Here is a 13,638-nt window from a genome sequence, read left to right as displayed (position 1 = left end):
TCCGTTTCTCTGAACTGAACTTAAACATTAATGTCAAAGGCCCACTGATGCAAGACCAGCAAATGGGCCCCTGTGTCAGATTAACAAGTTTTTCTTGAAGCATTAACTGACTCCTTAATAAAGGTTATAAAAGGCTTATGAAATTATATCTTATGGTCAGATGAACATTTTATAGATTGCTTATAAAATTTTAAAAAACATTTAATTGGCTTCATGCTGACTTTATTAGGGCTTATTGTTTGGAAAATTAAGTATCCTCTCTCAAAGAATGAAGGTTTTTGCTTTTTTTTTTTTTTTGAGATGTTTGAGTTATCACTCTAAGTGAATCACTTATTTTACAATGACCTGTGATCCTATTTAGTGATATCAAATGTTTTAAGCCTTTGATATTTGGCACATTTTCCAAAATAAAATTATAAATTATGTCTCTTTCTGATCTAACTAATCCTTTAAGATATTAGATTCCCTAAAGTACAAAATGGCATATTTGGCTTATTTGGTATAAAATGTACACAGGAAGTATTGTCAAATATGAAATGGTGTTTGGTTTTCTTTGGCTTATATTTGTATAAATATGTTATTGGTATGTGTTCCAAAATTATGAGAAACTCCTATAATTCTGATATGACTCAGTGTACATTATCAGTAATAATCATAATTGTTATGTGACATTATTTTATGTCACAGAGGTAACAAACTTCCTTGTCAATTGTGTCTTTGACTATGGGTGCCCTAAAACCTTTTGTCATCCGTGGACAATTGTCTTATTTTGGTCCTCTTTAGAAGGTGGTTTTATAATCAGCTATAAAATTCTTTTTTTTTCTTTGTTTCAAGTTTTAATCAAAGCTCGTATATAAGATTACTTTATTCCTGCATCTTCTCAATTGTTTCTTCCTTGTATTTGCCCTTTTCCTTTCCTACTTGGCAAGATTTGGCTTTCCGTTCAAGGATCTTTTTGCGGTCTTTGTCCAGTTTTAGCCTAGTGATAACCACCTTGCTGGGGTGAACGCCTGCGTGGACAGTTGTGCCATTAGCCTTTTCCCGCTGCACCTGTTCAATGTAGATAACATATTTCTTCCTGTAAACCTGGACTACTTTGCCAATTTGCTGACCTTTATAGTGTCCTTGTACAACCTGAACTTCATCATCCTTTCAGATGGGCATGGATTGCACGTTGTACTTCTGTCTCAGCTCTTTGGAAAGAGGGGAAGACGTAATCTTCCTTCGAATGTGGGAAGGTGCATTGAAATGCCTTTTGCGATTCTTGCTTCGGTGGGAAGTCACAAAGGGATTAAACTTCATTTTGGCTGGAAAAGCCTGCACACGTCTCAGGTCCTAAAAGCCTCCCAGTGGGCAAGTGTGGTCTGGAAGTTCTGTGAAGACTTTACCGAGAAGTTACTTCGAGACCATTCTCTAGGAAACGACACTACCCAGACTCCAGTCTATTTCCACAGGCTCCCTTCCCTCAGCTCGTTTTCGAGTCCCCAAATCCCCAGTCCCTCTATCCCTCTTCGGCCCGGCGGCCCTTGATTTAAGGGACAACAGGTAAAAAACCATCCCAGCCTCTCCTTCCTGGCTGCTACTCGGCTGACGGGAGACTCTTGGGGTCCCCGCGGTTGGAAGCTACCATGCCCTACCACGGATAGCTGTGGATTACACCCGCTTGCCCGCCGAATCCTTACCCGCTCCCAATCAGCTATAAAATTCTAACAGGCACTTTTGAATGCAGGTTTCTGATAACTTTGGAGATGGTGACATCACAATAGAGAAAAACCTTTCAGGACTCCTGGAAAGCTGAAATGTTCATGAATATCAAGCAGAACTGCATAGACTGAACTAATAGAAAACTGAAGTAGTCTTTTTGACTTTTTGCTTAAAATGTTGCTGATCCTTTGTTTTTCAGAGTCAAGGAAACTTTTCTTTTGAGCTATTAACAGCTTTTAACAATTAAATATACTTTATGAACAAAATTTGAAGCATATTTGTTTCTACCTGATTCTCCAGAATTTGGAAACTGAGTGTTCTTAACCTATGGCTATATAGTTATTTGCAAAAGTGCAATGAGAATCTGTTTTCATTTGTAATAGGACACAATTGGAGAAACTGGTTATTTTACCAAGGCTTTGACTGGAATGGTAGGCTTTCCTTTAAGGAATCAAACTTGACTTATAGAGCCAATAAAAGCCCTTTAGGAAAACTGACCTCATACCTACATAGTCCCCGTACAGGGTTCCTGACCTGTGGTAAGTAAGAATGTCACTTTCTGACAGGCCTAGGATCCCCAGGCTATCTTGGGATCTCAAGAGGAGAGGAATTCACCCAACTCATAGGTATTTGATGGTACAAATCTGTGGCTAGGCTCGACTTTAAAAAAGGCTAATCTGAGATTCCTTCTATGGAACAAAGCTCCATCAAAGCCAATTTAAAAAGCCTATGAGAAAAATCATTATTCTTGCTGTACTTTATACAAATAATCTGGCCAAGTATAACAAGGCAAATCAATCATAACATGATTTGTCTTTAGTAAAAATGGGAAACTGGAGAGAGAAAAATTATGTTTCAAAAACTATGGTACACCTGTTGTTAGATTCTAGTCTTACCTAATGTTTTTCAATTTTTATTATTTTCTGCAGTCTAGATTGAATTCTAATTTTTCCTGGCTACAAATCTCCAAGATAATGTTTTCAATTTTTTTCTTCTTTCTTTTCCTTATTTCCCCCATTTTTCCTAATTTAAAATCACTGAAAACTAAGCTGTGCTTTCTTAAAGCCTTACAAACTGCCACTAGACAACTTAATCTCTGGAAGAAAATAACAGCAACATTTTACGTACATAAGCCACTTTTATACCTGTCTATTGATGTATGGACTTTATTTTTTATTTATTTATTTTTATTATTATTATGCTTTAAGTTTTAGGGTACATGTGCACAATGTGCAGGTTAGTTACATATGTATACATGTGCCATGCTGGTGTGCTGCACCCATTAACTCGTCATTTAGCATTAGGTATATCTCCTAATGCTATCCCTCCCCCCACCCCACAACAGTCCCCAGAGTGTGATGTTCCCCTTCCTGAGTCCATGTGTTCTCATTGTTCAATTCCCATCTATGAGTGAGAACATGCGGTGTTTGGTTTTTTGTCTTTGCAATAGTTTACTGAGAATGATGGTTTCCAATTTCAACCATGTCCCTACAAAGGACATGAACTCATCATTTTTTATGGCTGCATAGTATTCCATGGTGTATATGTGCCACACTTTCTTAATCCAGTCTATCATTGTTGGACATTTGGGTTGGTTCCAAGTCTTTGCTATTGTGAATAGTGCTGCAATAAACATACGTGTGCATGTGTCTTTATAGCAGCATGATTTATAGTCCTTTGGGTATATACCCAGTAATGGGATGGCTGGGTCAAATGGTATTTCTAGTTCTAGATCCCTGAGGAATCGCCACACTGACTTCCACAATGGTTGAACTAGTTTACAGTCCCACCAACAGTGTAAAAGTGTTCCTATTTCTCCACATCCTCTCCAGCATCTGTTGTTTCCTGACTTTTTAATGATTGCCATTCTAACTGGTGTGAGATGGTATCTCATTGTGGTTTTGATTTGCATTGCTCTGATGGCCAGTGATGATGAACATTTTTTCATGTGTCTTTTGGCTGCGTAAATGTCTTCTTTTGAGAAGTGTCTGTTCATATCCTTTGCCCACTTTTTGATGGGGTTGTTTGTTTTTTTTCTTGTAAATTTGTTTGAGTTCATTGTAGATTCTGGATATTAGCCCTTTGTCAGATGAGTAGGTTGCAAAAATTTTCTCCCATTTTGTAGGTTGTCTGTTCACTCTGATGGTAGTTTCTTTTGCTGTGCAGAAGCTCTTTAGTTTAATTAGATCCCATTTGTCAATTTTGGCTTTTGTTGCCATTGCTTTTGGTGTTTTAGACATGAAGTCCTTGCCCATGCCTATGTCCTGAATGGTAATGCCTAGGTTTTCTTCTAGGGTTTTTATGGTTCTAGGTCTAACATTTAAGTCTTTAATCCATCTTGAATTCATTTTTGTATAAGGTGTAAGGAAGGGATCCAGTTTCAGCTTTCTACATATGGCTAGCCAGTTTTCTCAGCACCATTTATTAAATAGGGAATCCTTTCCCCATTGCTTGTTTTTCTCAGGTTTGTCAAAGATCAGATAGTTGTAGATACGCGGCGTTATTTCTGAGGGCTCTGTTCTGTTCCATTGATCTATATCTCTGTTTTGGTACCAGTACCATGCTGTTTTGGTTACTGTAGCCTTGTAGTATAGTTTGAAGTCAGGTAGCATGATGCCTCCAGCTTTGTTCTTTTGGCTTAGGATTGACTTGGTGATGCAGGCTCTTTTTTGGTTCCATATGAACTTTAAAGTAGTTTTTTTCCAATTCTGTGAAGAAAGTCATTGGTAGCTTGATGGGGATGGCATTGAATCTATAAATTACCTTGGGCAGTATGGCCATTTTCATGATATTGATTCTTCCTACCCATGAGCATGGAATGTTCTTCCATTTGTTTGTATCCTCTTTTATTTCCTTGAGCAGTGGTTTGTAGTTCTCCTTGAAGAGGTCCTTCACGTCCCTTGTAAGTTGGATTCCTAAGTATTTTATTCTCTTTGAAGCAATTGTGAATGGGAGTTCACTCATGATTTGGCTCTCTGTTTGTCTGTTATTGGTGTATAAGAATGTTTGTGATTTTTGTACATTGATTTTGTATCCTGAGACTTTGCTGAAGGACTTTAGAGTAATGTGACCTATATTGATTTTCCAGGATTGTTCTTTTGTTTATTGTTGTTTTTCTTCCTTCCTCCCCCTATTTTCTCTTCATAGGACATGAGAGTTTACAACCTGCTAAAAATGAGCTTTCCTAATAACTTGGAACCTACCCATTTAGGAATAAACCATCGTAGCCATGAGAGATCAGATGAAACCTGAGACCAGAGACTCATTTTCTTCTAAAACGCTTTCTCTAAAAGATTTTAAAAAGAAAAGGGGGGAAATATGAAAGAAAAATAAATCTTGGGGCCCCGAAATCACTAAGCTGAAGGGTAAAGTCAAGCTGGGAACTGCTTAGGGCAAACCTGCCTCCCATTCTATTCAAAGTCATCCCTCTGCTCACTGAGATAAATGCATATCTGATTGCCCACTTTGGAAAGGCTAATCAGAAACTCAAAAGAAAGCAACCGTTTGTCTCTCACCTACCTGTGACCTGGAAGCCTCTTCCCTGCTTCGAGTTGTCCTGCCTTTCTGAATGGAACCAATGTACACTAAAATGTATAAAACCTAGCTGTGCTCTGACCACCTTGGGCACATATAGTCAGGACCTCCCAAGGCTGTCACATGGGCCGATATTCTCAACCTTGGCAAAATAAACTTCATAATTATAATTATTAAATACCTGTCTCAGATATTCTGGGTTCCCAGCTCTGTTGGTTGCTTTCTTTTTTTGATGTGCAAAAGCTTTACAGTTTGATATAGTCCCACTTGTTTATTTTTGCTATTGTTGCCTGTGCTTTTGGGGTCATACCCAAAAAATCATTGCCCAGACCAATATTATATAGCTTTCCCCCTATGTTTTCTTATGGTAGTTTTACAGTTTTAAGTTTTATGTTTAAGTCTTTAAGAATCCACTTTGAATTCATTTTTGTATATGGTGTGAGGCAAGGGTCTAATTTCATTCTTCTGCATATCAATATCTAGTTTTTCCAGCAGCATTTATCGAGGAGACTGTCCTTTCTTTATTGCGTTTTATTGGACTCTTTGTCAAAATGCTGTTTTGATTACTATAACTTTAAAAAAATGTAAAACAAAATTAATTTTTTTAATTTTTAAAAAATCCCCTGGGTTTACCATACTATAACTTTTTAGTAGATTTTGAAATCAGATAGTGTGATGCCTCTAGCTTTGTTCTTTTTGCTCAAGATTGCTTTGGCTATTCAGTGATTTTTGTGGTTCTATGTGCATTTTAGGATTTTTTTCTATTTCTGTGAAAAAGTTCATTGGAATTTTGATAGGAATTGCAATGAATCTGTAGATCACTTATTTTAACAATATTAATTATTTAAATCCATACACGTAAATATCTTTCCATTTGTTTGTGTCTTTAATTTTTTATCAATGTTTTAATTTTTAGTTTACAGATCTTTTATCCCCTGGGTTAAATTTATTCCTAAGGATTTTTTTTTATAGCTGTTGTAAGTGGGGTTGTTTTCTTGATTTCTTTTTCAGGTAGTTTTCGTTAGTGTTTAGAAACACTATTTATTTTTGTATGTTTACTTTGTATGCTGCAATTTTACAGAATTTATTTATTAGTTCTAAGAGTTTTTTTGGTGGAATCTTTAGGATTTTCTACATAGAGGATTATGTAGTCTGCAAACAGACAATTTAACTTTTTCCTTTCTGATTTGAATGGTTTTTTACATCTTTCTCTTGCCTAATTGCTCTGGCTAGGTCTTCCCGTACTCTGTTGAATAGAACTGGTGAGGGTGGGCATCCTTGTCTTATTCCTGATCTTAGAGGAAAAGATTTCAACTTTTTGCCACTGAGAATGATGTTAGCTATGGGTTTGTGTATATGGGCTTTATTGTGTTAAGGTAAGTTTCTTCTACGTCTAATTTGTTGAGAATTTTTAGGATGAAAGATGTTGAATTTTGTCAAATATCTTTTCTACATCTATTGAGATGATCATATGTCTTTGTCCTTCATTCTGTTAATATGACATATCACACTTGTTGATTTGTATATGTTGAACCACCCTTGCATCCCAGGGGATAAATTCCAGTTGATCATGGTGAATGATCCTTTCAATGTGTTGTTGAATTCTGTTTACCAGTATTTTATTATGGATTTTTGCATCTATGTTCATCAGGGGTGTTGGCCTGTAATTTTCTTTTCTGTAGTGTCCTAGTTGGCTTTGGTATCAAGGTAATGCTGGCCTTATAAAATGAGTTTGGAAGTATTCCCTCCTTTTCAATATTTTGGAATAGTTTGAAGAGAATTAGTATTAGTGTTCTTTAAATGTTTGATAGAATTCAGCATTGAAACCATCAGGTCTCAATGGAAAAGTCTCAAATGTGAGACTTTTTATTACTGATTCAATCTCCTTACTCATTAGTAATCTGTTCAGATTGTTAATTTATTCATGATTTAGTCTTGGTACATTGTATATGTCTGGAAATTTATTAATTTCTTCTAGGTTACCCAATTTGTTGGCCTACAAATGTTCATAATAGTCTCTCTCTCTTTTTTTTTTTTGATGGAGTCTTGCTGTGTTGCTCAGGCTGGAGTGCAGTGGCACGATCTCAGCTCACTGCAAACTCTGCCTCCTGGGTTCATGCCATTCGCCCACCTCAGCCTCCTGAGTAGCTGGGACTACAGGCACCTGCCACCACGTCTGGCTAATTTTGTTTTTGTATTTTTAGTACAGATGGGGTTTCACAGTGTTAGCCAGGATTGTCTCGATCTTTTCATATCGTGATCTGCCTGCCTTGGCCTCCCAAAGTTCTGGGATTACAGGTTTGAGCCACTGTGCCCAGCCCATAATAGTCTCTTTTAGTCCTTTGTATTTCTGTGATTCAGTTGTAATGTATCCTCTTTCATTTGTTATTTTATTTATTTTAGTCTTCTCTTTTTTCTTACTGTAGCTACAGGTTTGTCAATTTTATTCCTCTTTTCAAAAAACAAATCTTTGCTTGTTGATCTTTCTGTTGTTCTTCTAGTGTCTATTTCACTTATTTCAGCTCTGATCTTTATCTTAATTTCCTTTCTTCTATTGTCTTTGGGCATAGTTTGTTCTTTTTCTAGTCCTTTGACATGTAATGTGAGGTTGTTTATTTGGGATCTTTCCTTTTCTTTTTTGATGTAGGCATTTGTTGCTCTTAGGATTGCTTTTGGTATGTTGAACTTCCATTTTCTTTTGTCTTAAGATATTAAAACAATTTTCCTTTTAATTTCTTCTTTGACCCCTTGTTTAGGAGCATGTTGTTTCATTTCCACATGTTTGTGAATTTCCTAAAATTTCCTCTATTATTAATTTCTAGTTTTATACCACTGGGGTCTGAAATGGTTCCAATCTTCATAAATTTGTTAAGATTTGTTTTGTGGCCTAACATATGATATATCCTAGAGAATTTTCCATGCGTATGCTCTTGAGAAGAATGGGTATTCTGCTGCTGTTGAATGAAAAGTTCTATTTAGGTTGGTGCAAAAGTAATTGAGGTTTTTGCCATTAATGCAATTACTTTTGCACCAACCTAAAATATGTGTCTGTTTGGTTCATTTGATCTAAAGTATAGTTCAAGCCAATGTTTCCTTATTGATTTTCTGTCTGGATGATTTGTGAATTGTTGAGAGTGTAGCATTGAAATTCCCTACTATTATCATACTGCAGTCTGTCTCTCTCTTCGGATCTATTAATATTTGCTTTATATATTAAAGTGGTCTGATGTTGGATACCTATGTATTCATAATTGTTATATCTCCTTGAGGTATCAATCCCTTTATATCATTACATAATGACCTTCTTTGTCTCAATTTACAGTTTTTTGGCTTAAATTCTATTTTATCTGTTATAAGTATAGCTTCTCTTTTGGTTTTCATTTGCATGAATATCTTTTTCCATCCTCTCACTTTCAATCTGTGTGTCTTTTTAGGTTAAGTGAGTCTCTTGTAGGCAGCATATAGTTGGGTCCTTAAAAAAAACCCATACAACATTCTGTTTTTTGATTGGATATTTTAATCTATTTCCACTTAAGGTAATTATTGATAGGTAAGGACTTACTACTGCCATTTGTTAACTTATTTATGGCTGTTTTGTGGAGTTTTTATTTCTTTGTTCCTCTCTTGCTGTCCTCCTTTGTGATTTGATGATTTTCTTTAGAGGTAGGCTTTGATTTCTTTCTCTTTCTTTTTTGTGTATCTACTATAGGTTTTTGCTTTGTATAAAACATCTTATAATAGGCTGTTTTAAGCTAATAAAAAACTTAACTTTGCGTACAACAACTCTAGACTTCACCTCCCCATATTTGATGTATTGATGTCACAATTTGCACCTTTTAATATGGTATATCCTTTAGCAAATTAATATATTTTAAAACAATTTTGTCTTTTAACCTATATACTAACAATAATTTACACACCACCATTACAATGTTAGAGTATTCTGAATTTGACTGTGTACTACGTACTTTTACCACTGAGGTTTTTGCTTTTGTATGTTTTTGTGCTACTAATTAGCATACTTTTGTTCAGCTTGAAGAACTCCCTTTAGCATTTCTTGTAAGACAGGTCTGGTGGTGATAAACTCCCTCAACTTTAATTTGCCTGGGAAAGTCTTTATCTCTCTTTTATCTCTGAAGAATAGCTTTTCTGGGTAAAGTATTTTTGGTTGGAAGTTTTTTTTTTTCCCTTCAGCACTTTGAATATATCATCCCACTCTCTCCTGGTTTGTAAGGTTTCTGCTGAGAAATCCACTGTTAGCCTTACTGGAACTTCTTTACATGTGATTTGTTTCTTTTCTTTTGCAGCTTTTAGGATCCTTTCTTTGTCTTTGGTTTTTGACAAATTGATTATGTCTCAGGAGTAGTCTTGTTTTGATTGAATCAGATTGGAGATCTTTAACCTTCTTGTACCTGGATATTTATATTGCTCCCCAGGTTTGGAAGGTTTTCTGCTATTATTTCTTTAAATAAGTTTCCTTCCCCTTTATTTCTCTCTTCTTCTTGAACTTCTATAATGTGAACATTTGCTCTTTTGATACTCTCCCCAAAGTCCCATAAGTTTTCATCATTCTTTTTCACTCTTTTTTCTCCTCTGACTGTATATTTTCAAATAATCTGTCTTCAAGTTCACAGATTCTTTCTTCTGCTTGATCATTCTGTCACTGATGCTTTCTATTACATTTTAAAATTTCATTCATTGTATTCTTCTGTGCCAGAATTTCTGTTTGCTTTTTTTTAAAAAAAATTTCAATCTTTCTGTTACATTTCTCATTTTGGTTGCTTATTGTTCTTCTGATTTCACTGAATTACTTCTCTGTATTTTTTGAAGTTTGCTGAGCTTCCTTAAATTATTTTGAATTTTGAATTATTTGTCAGTTTTTTTTCATTTCTTTCTTTTTTTTTTTTTTTTAGATGGAGTCTTGCTCTGCGCCCAGGCTGGAGTGCAGTGGCTTTTTTTCATTTATTTGTGGTCAGTTTTGGGAGATTATTGTGTTCTTTTGTTGGTGATATATCTCCTTGGTTTTACATGTTTCTTGTTGCCTTTCATTGATGTCTGCATATTTGATGGAGTCACCTCTTGCAGACTTCACAGACTGATTTCACTATGGAAAGACCTTCCCCTACAGGGAGGTAGAAGGGTGCTTGCTGGTGGTGTGCAGTGGTTCTGTCACCAGTGAGAACGCAGCTGTGTAGTCTCTGTGTGGCTGTGTCTTATATTGACATATCTTTCTTTTCCTAGAATAAAAACTACTTGACCATAGTGTATGATTTTAATATATATTTGTTTTTTCCATCTATCATAAGAAATGAAAACTGTTCATTTATTTTTTGAAATAACTTAAGAAAGTTTTGATATTAAGGTGTGTTAGCATCATAAATTGAATTGAGGAAATTTCTAATTTTTTTCTATGGCTTGGAATACTTTGACTAACATAAAAATTATCCTTATTGGAATGTAATCTAAAACTAATTTGTAAAATCATTTCGGCCTAGAACACTTTTATAGGGGATGCCATCATTTAGATATTTTAAGCATTAAAATTAATTTGCACCTTAGCTTCTGGTAAACATGAAATGTAGGTAATTTAGCTCTTCTTTTGAAGACAGCCAGAAAAGCTAAATAAGAAATCTACTTGAAGGTATTAGGACATAATAAAATAGTGAAGAAATACTGGCCCCAAATTTGGCAGACGTGACAAACCATTTTGGGTTGCTTCTCCTCTCAGAAGAAACTGCCAATTCAGTGTGGGAGGTACTGAGAGGCTGAATGATGCTTTTTTGGAAAGTAATATATCTTTTATAGTCTGCTTTTGATATTTTCTCTTTTTCTTTAGTTTTCTGCAGTTCTACCATGCTATATCCAGGTATGCATTTCTTGTACTTTTTCTGCTCGGGTTTTTAAAGTTTCTTAAATCTGTGCTTGATCTCTTTCAACACTTTGGGTAAATTCTAGGGTGTTATCTCTTCCATTATAATTTGATTCCATTAACATGTATTGTTCAATTACCGTTTTGCCCCCTCACCCATGTATTTTCTTTACATATATGAAAAAGGTCGACATATGCCTCAGTCCTTCTTTATCTTCTCTTTCTTTTAGCAGCTTTTTTGGTTTTCCCCTATTCTTTTTGTTTTTGTCCTCAGTATGCCCCCAAATTCCCTATTTTATTCCATGCTTTATTCTGGATTCTGTCTCCCGGCCCATCTTTAGCCCAGTCTAACTCACTATTAAGCTAATCAATTAAGTTTGTAATTTCAGTTATTTTATTATTATTTAGTTATGGGATTTTTACTCTATTTTTGTCTTAGCCAGCGTTCCCTAGTGATTGGATTTCATTGAATTGTGTCCTCTACAAAAAGATATGTCAAAACCCCAACCCCCAGTGCCTCAGAATGTGACCTTATTTGGAAATTGGGTCTTTACAGAGGTAGTCCGTCAACATGAAGTTATTAGGGTGGACCATAATTCCATATGACTGGGGTCCTTCCTTATAAAAAGGGGAAATTTGGACATAGATAGACAGACATACAGGGAAGACGACAGGGAAACATGCAGGTGATAACGCCGCGTGAAGATTGAGGCAGAGATGGGAGGGATGCGGCCAGAAGCTGAGGAATGTTGGGGTCCGCCAGAAGCTGAAGAATGTTGGGATCCACCGGAAGCTGGAAGAGGCAGGAAGAATTCTCCCTAGACGCTGCAGAGGGAGCACAGCCTGGCTGACTTCTTGATTTTGCACTTCGGCTTCCAGAACTTTGGGACAATGAATTCCTGCTGTGTGAAGCCCTCCAGCTGTGGTGCATCCTCATGGCCTCCCTAGGTAACAGATTCCCCTGGAAGGCAGAGTGCGAAGCAAGGGCAGCGCTCCTGTTTGATTAGAGAGTGAAATCCAGGGGGCGCAGTGAGGAAGAAGGGGAGAGACACAGATACGGCAGAGACAGGGCTGCAGACAAGTGTGACTGATGACCACTTCTCAGAGACGTACTTTCTAAGAGGCTGTAAAACGGCCTGGTGTGGTGGCTTAGGCCTGTAATCCCAGCACTTTGGGAGGCCGAGGCGGGCGGATCACCTGAGGTCAGGAATTGGAGACCAGCCTGACCAATAAGGTGAAACCCCACCTCTACTGAAAAAAATACAAAAGTTAGCCGGAAGTGGTGGCGGGTGCCTGTGATCCCAGCTACTCAGGAGGCTGAGGCAGGAGAATCACTCAAACACGAGAGTTGGCTTGCATTGACCTGAGATGGCGCCATTGCACTCCAGCCTGGGCGACAGAGGGAGACCCTGTCAAAACAAAAAAAAAAAAGAGGCTGTAAAATGACAGACTCTCAGCACATTCTGTTTGGGAGGAGGAATGGGGAATAATTTATTTACCAGTCAGTGCCAAATCCCATTTATCAGGGGTTCACCCCGTGGAGCATGAATACCTCAGGTTACCGGATCGCACAGGCGTGGGTACTGAGCGAATCCTGGGGTGTTTCTCGCCTTGTTGGCAACAGGGAAGGCCCGAGGTAGGAGACAAGCGGCATCCACCGCAGGCTTAGGGTGAAATGCGCTGCCCACTCCCTGTGGAGTCAGGCGGTGCCCACACAGAACTGGTGACCAGCGGGGTGGTGGAAGCAAAACAGATGGCTGCTATGGACCGAATGTTTGTGTTCCTCCGACATTCACGTGTTGGAGCCCTAACCCTCAGTGGGAGGAAATTAGGCTCAGATGAGGTCATGAGGGTGGAGCCGCCATGATAGGATTAGACCCCTAATAAGACCAGAGCCCTGGCTCTCCACCATGTGCAGACACAGCAAGAAGCTGGCCATCTGCAAACCCCCAAGAAGACCCCCACCAGGAACTAAATCTGCCGACACTTTGACTTTGGGCTTCTCAGCCTCCAGAACTGTGCAAAATCTGTTATGTAAGCCACCCAGCCTGTGGAATTTTGCTATGGAACCCTGAGGTGGTCAACACACAGCCAAGGGCTCCAGAACAAGGCGACCAAAGAGTCTGCCCAGGTCTTAAGAGGCACTGGATGTAACTTTCTTTTTTCTTTCTTCTTCTTCTTCTTCTTTTTTTCTTTTTAACAGTTTTCAGATCTCTGCCAAAATTCTCAATCTTGTCTTTTTCCTCCATAAACAAAGAATGCATATTTATTTTGAGATCTGTGTATCATAATTCCGTTATCTGGGTGACTGTGGACCATTCTGTTTTGTTTGCCTACAGAGTCTGTCTTGTCTCCTTATGTGCTTATTGTGTGATAGGGCATTCATTGGCTTATTGTAGAAATACATCAAGATGTAGGAGATCTCCCTCCAGGTGTGAGATAAGTTGGCTCTGCCAGGCACCAGGGGGCACCAGAACTCTATGGTTGCCTTAATCCAGTTTTAGGAAGTGTGATGATTCAAAGGTGCACTT

The 13,638-nt window shown here is 37.6% G+C and overlaps 1 long non-coding RNA gene and 1 pseudogene across 1 annotated transcript in view, besides 1 other annotated feature; one reads left to right on the top strand and one right to left on the bottom strand.

Moving 5' to 3' along the window:
* LINC02320 (long intergenic non-protein coding RNA 2320) overlaps positions 1 to 13,638 on the top strand; it is a 102,958-nt gene that overhangs the window by 52,062 nt on the left and 37,258 nt on the right. The gene's annotated exons all lie outside the window — the stretch shown is intronic.
* RPL26P4 (ribosomal protein L26 pseudogene 4) lies at positions 822 to 1,308 on the bottom strand (annotated as a pseudogene).
* Positions 12,276 to 12,775: an enhancer, noted in NCBI's record as "H3K4me1 hESC enhancer chr14:102132807-102133306 (GRCh37/hg19 assembly coordinates)". NCBI's record gives its function as "activates a minimal SCP1, AML or CMV promoter by ChIP-STARR-seq in primed H9 embryonic stem cells {active_cell/tissue: H9 hESC(primed)}" and the evidence as "EXISTENCE:reporter gene assay evidence [ECO:0000049][PMID:30033119]".

This window comes from Homo sapiens, chromosome 14 (assembly GCF_000001405.40).
Source record: "Homo sapiens chromosome 14, GRCh38.p14 Primary Assembly".
NCBI classification, from domain to species: Eukaryota; Metazoa; Chordata; class Mammalia; order Primates; family Hominidae; genus Homo; species Homo sapiens.
The sequence above is the reverse complement of the archived record's forward strand: the minus strand, read 5'-3'. Positions and strand labels throughout refer to the sequence as shown.